Raw genomic sequence first — 5,950 nt, 5'->3', positions numbered from 1 at the left:
AGGGTTGTGATAGATGGCATTACTATTCTTCCAAATATTCCAGTTCCCCTTTCTGTGATGTCCTTCCCTGTAGGAGGATTATGTATTATCCTCCATGACATCAGCTTTAGCCATGTGATTTGCTTTGGTTCATTACATGCAAGCAGAAGTGATGTTTTTTCACTTACGAGCAGAAGCTTTAAAACACAGCATGTGATCACTAGGCTCTATTTCCCTCTCCCATGAGCCCAGCAACACCACAGTTAGAGGCCACGCCGTCATCCTGGGTCCCACAGTGAACAAGGCATGGACCAGAGCCTCAGTCGGTCAGTGATGGACATGTAACTTGAGCAGGAAATAAACCTGTATATCCCACTTGGATTTGGGGGTCATTAGTTACCACAGCATAACTTAGCCAAGCTGACTGATATAAGTCCTATAACTTGCCAACCTCTTTAATGACTGGGAGTCATTAAACAAGGCCCCCTAAAGCAAACTGTTTCAGTTCAAGTGGATATATGTAAAAGGCTCTTCTTGGTTATGCAGATAAGTTGAGTGACATTATCGAGGGAGGGCAAAATGCCTTGAGTAATACCTATATTGGTTAAAGAAGCATAGGCTCTGTCACAACAACGGGTAGATTCCCAAATCTCAGAAACTCACAAAATTAAAATTTCTCATGTAGACGAGCTCCAATGCAGGTTAATCACTCTTCTGATGGCTCCCCTCTAAGTAGTGATTTAAGGCTCATGCTGTTCCCAACTTGCAATGCAACCATTTTGGAATCCTTATTTCCAAACACATAGTTAAAGAGCTCATGGAAGATCTCACAGAAAAGTTTTTATAGCAAGGCCCAGGAAAGGTAAGGCCCATATTCTCTAGGCAGATTTCATCACAGATTCCACCTAGTTGAAAGGAGGACTGGAAAATGAAATCTTCCTATGTGACCAGGAAGAAAATAAAATGGTTCCATGAACAGTTACATTTTATCTGCTATAGTAAGGTAGTATTTTTACAGGAAAAAAGATATAAAACATGTTGAATTTTGAGAAGCTTTAAAAAGGCTGTGTTGCCACTTGGATGATAATGGTTAACAGGGAAGAACATTGAATATTGGCTCTTTGAGTAATAGTTATTGGAATCCAACCAGACCTCAGTATTGGTGAGCTTGTGCCTCTGGATGTGTCTGTGTATGTTAACCAAAAGTGCTTTCTGCTAAAGCCATATCCATACGGACTGAGTGTAGCCACTTCAGAAATGGAGGTGTCTGGACAACCCAGGGCCATGCTGCTTCAGTGGACAAGCAGCACTGGAGGGACATACCTGACTTGTCTTCAGCAGCAACCCCAAGTGGTGATGGGCAACATACTGTTCAAAGCCCAGTTCTCCCTATACCTAGCATTAGAAAAGGACTGATCTCTCTTTGGGTCAAATAAACCCTGGAAGGAATTCTTAGGGGAATTTAAGAGGGGGAGCTTCAAAAGCTTCTTTTCACTTACAAGAAGAAACTTTAAGAGACAGCATGTGATCACTAGGCCCTACTTCCTTCTCCCATGAGCCCAGCAGCATCCCGGTTAGAGGCCACACCAGCATCCTGGGTCCCACAATGAAGATGACATTGACCAGAGCCTCAACTGGTCAATGATGGACATGTAACTTGAGCAAGAAACAAACCTGTATATCCCACTTGGATTTGGGGGTCATTAGTTACCACAGCATTTTCAAAAGAAAATGTGTTGCAATTCAAGAAAATAATTTGTAAACTAAAAGATGTCTCATATTTGAATAACAAATTTTTTGAGCAATTCATTCTGGTTTACTAAAGAGAGATATAGTATAAAGATAATAGAGGAGTGGAATAAGAGCATCAAAATAAAAGAAATCTAAGGGAGAGAAGTAAGCAATTCATCTTGATTAATTTTATTTTATTTTTAATCAATAACCCCCAACATGGCAGCAATGCAAACCACATAGGCCAGCTGGTCAGAACAGTACCCACTGAGAGATGGACAGTTTTGTGGGAGGTGATTCCACTTTAGAAATTCAAGGTGTAGAGAACACAGCAGCATATCTGCTCTGTGCAGTATTGAGACATGGGTAGGAGCAAGAGGATACCCTTCCAGTATGTAATTAAAGCACTTGTGTGACTGTGGGCGTTAGATCAAACTTCCTACATAAACAGGATCTACATGTGAGAACACTTTCAAAGGTTGAATGTTGAGCTTTGCTAGAGACAGAGCAGCAGGTGGGCAGCCAGCCAACCAGTCACATGGGACTGAAACTGACGTTCTGAAGCCCATTAGGCTCCTCACAATGTTCTGCATTGGCTCAGCCCACTCAAATACAAACCCAAGTGAGGTGCTTCTCACCTGTGGGTTGCCCCTACGCAAACCCCAACTGTGCATCTGATCTAATCTGAAGAGACCTTTTATACAGAGAATAGACTTGGTCAAACACACCTCCCTCATGGGAAAATGGCATCTCTGCCCAAGAGCATGATTTTCCCTGGGGAACTACCAAATTATTTGTTCTCACTAAAAGGGTGGAATGATAGGATTGTTAAGAAAGCTGACTGCTTTTCCATCTGTTTATCAAGCCAACTGCCTGACTTAAGGTGTCTATGATTATACAATTAGGTAGCTGTAACCCAAGCCCCCTGGCCTATGCTGGGTAGCAACTAAAGTATCTTTGATCTCTTCAGCCTCTGAACTGTGTTGACATGGCTCCAAGGCTCCCAAGTCTCATCCTTTCTCTAGTAACCCAGTGTCTACTGCTCTGTTGAATGGATGCTGATGTCTGTCACTGTGGGTTCTATCCCTACAGCTGGTGTTCTTCTCAATAAAATGGTGACCACTTGGCTGTGGACCCCAACTCCCACCAGAAGTGAGAGACTAGCCCACAGTAGTTGCAAGCCTCACCAATATGATGCCTACATCCCCTGCCCTAGCTCTGAGTCAATACCCAAAGGAGGTTTAATGCTTTATCTCACAGCGTTCTTTATCAAAGAATCCGGGACATAGTCCCAAAGATTAGGCCAGAATGCATTAAAGTAACACCATACTAGGATCAACTCAAAACTGATCCCCCTAATTATAAGCCAGCATCCCAGCCACCACGACATTTTATATTAGTGGCACTCACTGCCCATCTCCCAAGACATCTCTCTTCCTATCCTGCAAGTCATTGTTCTCTATCTAAATAACTCTTTATTCGGTATCATCAGTTCCAGAATGTCTCTCTCTAGTTAGCCCAGGAGACCCTAATGCAAACAGTACCTGTGGTCTGTCCTCATATAGCAAGTTTCCTGAGGTGGGCATGCAAATTAAGCTCCTGGGCACCCCTAGGTAAAGCCTTCCTTTACAATGTACCAGCCCTGAGAATGAAGAGATGAAGAAAATGCTACCCAAGTCTTCAAGGAGCTCTAAGTCTAGTAAGCAGACAAGTCCATAAGCAGACAATTCCTTGAGAAAGCACAATGTTACCGATGACATAGATCATAGCACAGAGTAAGGACAATTTTGGTAAACCATAATTGTTGGAAAGAACCAAGGAATTCCCCAGCTGGGATCAGGGACAGCACCTTCTGTAGCCTTACAGTGGATTCTGTGGGATAGAGACGAATTGAACTTGTGGGAAAGGGGAAAACAGATTTATTCATTTGGGTATTTGGTTTTCCCTTCTGTCAGGTTGCCAGAATCATTACTTTCATGAATAATTTGCTGTCCTAATACAACTGTGCTTTCTGAATAGCTCACTAGAGAATGACAAATCTAACTTCCAAGGAAGAATCTTCATGAAAACAAACAAAAAAAAATGAGCTGAACCAATTACATCATGTCAGCATGCAAATACAGAACCTAGAACAATAAACTTATAATGATTGAAAGCAACGATTATATATTATGTTCATATTACGGAAACACAGTCAAAGTAGTTTAGTCCCCACAATGCCAACAGGTACTTTATTACAAAAAAACACCTAGGTTCTTCAAAAGTTTCCCAAAGTCAACTACAGAAACAAGAACAGAACCCCATTTTTATTAACACATATAATAAACCTAGGGAATACTAAAGGGTGAACTTGATCTCAAAACCGTTTATGTCTCTTCCTTTCTTCCTCCCACTTTCTGAGGACATAGGAGAAGTTATGGCAATAGGCGTGTTTAGGAGGACGTGGCTATGTATGGACTTGAGGAACCCGCCTGTCTTTTCTAAAGGCATCTGAAGACACCAGCATTTTCCTGAGCTGGGAGAATGAGAAACAAGAGGAATTATGAATGTAGCTAGGAGGAGAAAGAGTAGTATTGATAGAGGCTGGCAATAAATCAGATTTCTCAAGCTTATAAAATGTCTCAGCAATAATGATCCTTGGAATTCAGCCACAAGTCACCCTATTGTCCTAATTAGAGCATATACACTGCTGCTAAGTGATTCTCCCTAGCCAATATGGGGTCTCTGGTAGACAATATCTCAGCCTCTCCAATTATTGCTTCTCTACTCCTTAACCACAAGTTTCTTCCATTTAATACAGAACGCCCTACCTTCCACTATAAGATAAAGGTCAGAGTCAAAACCAAAGAGTTTCACAAAAACAATAACCACCTTGTTCCCCACAACCTCTCTCTGCCTCATCACCTCCCCAAAGGGAAAAAAAAATGCAAGAAGGGATCTTTGTTTGAATGGAAATTGGTTAAACTTTTTTTTTCAGTTTCCACACTACTTTTTTTCTCTTGGTTTCTAGTGACCTTTCAGATACCGAATAATTAAATGCAGAAGCTGCCATAATTGAAAAATCTAAATTTAAAAGTGATACAACAATTCTGCCATCTCTTATTTATGGGGCAACTGAGACTCTAAAATTTCAGAGATTCCCTGCCTCTTACCAGCATTGCCATACCTTTCCAGGGATGCCGATGTTTTTTAAGTGATGAAAGAACTATGACTCACAGCTCAGAAATGTATCATGAGAATTTTGTTTTATGTCTAGAAACCTAGTAAGGGATGTTCAGGAAATATGTTCAGCTATAGATAGAGTTATCTATAACTGAAATATGTTGGAGATGCATGAGAAATTTCTCAAATTATAAAAACACACACAATCAGATTTCACTGCCTAGATCCCTAAACTCTCCAGCCTTCTGAAATATGTTTTTTAACTACCCAAATAAAATGGCCCAAGTCCAGTTCTCAAACCACCAAGTTCCAAACTGAGGGAATTCCTTGGTCATAAGACAGAAAAATGGAGTGATGTCTACTCTCCCTCCATCAGTTCATTCTGCAGCCTGACTCTCCATGACTACCTGGCTCTCACTCTTGGGACTGTTCTCCCCTTCCAACACTGCCTTTCCCACCCTGAATGCCAACCTTCTTTTTATGCCCTAAAGCACTTTGTTGTGTATATAATTAAATTTTAATGAAATTTTAGGAAGAAGTATAGTGGAGCTGAGATATTTATAGAGATGTTAGTTACTGCTATCCTAAAGATCCTTGACCACCTCCACCACAGACAAGGCCTTACATGCCAACAATTTCCTCAGGCCTCATGTTGGATGTCCCTTCCATGTATGTCCTCCCTTTTGTTTTTTCTGAACCTGTGAGAGAGGCTGCCCATGTATATTAGTCTCCATACTTTACTACACAGGGTAATTAACTTCTCCCTTTGTTTTCCCCTCTCTCACCAGGTTACTCATCAAAAACACCAATTAAGGTGATTTTTCTCAGCAAAACACTCTTTACTTAAGACAGATTTATACTATGCCTGTGGAAGGTAGAAATGGAGGTAGTTGGTTTTTGTTTTAAATAACATTCTTTTTCTTTTCACTACGAACACACACACACACACACACACACACACACACACAAGCACTAAAATATTCTGGAAGAATATGTACTCAATTATTAAAGAGATTATCCCTGATGGCTGTAATTTAGCAAAGTTGGGAGATTTGCCTGTGTGTGTGTATGTGTGTGT

The sequence above is a fragment of the Homo sapiens genome, chromosome 1, assembly GCF_000001405.40.
Source record: "Homo sapiens chromosome 1, GRCh38.p14 Primary Assembly".
In the NCBI taxonomy this organism is placed as follows: domain Eukaryota; kingdom Metazoa; phylum Chordata; class Mammalia; order Primates; family Hominidae; genus Homo; species Homo sapiens.
This window is presented reverse-complemented; position numbering follows the sequence as displayed.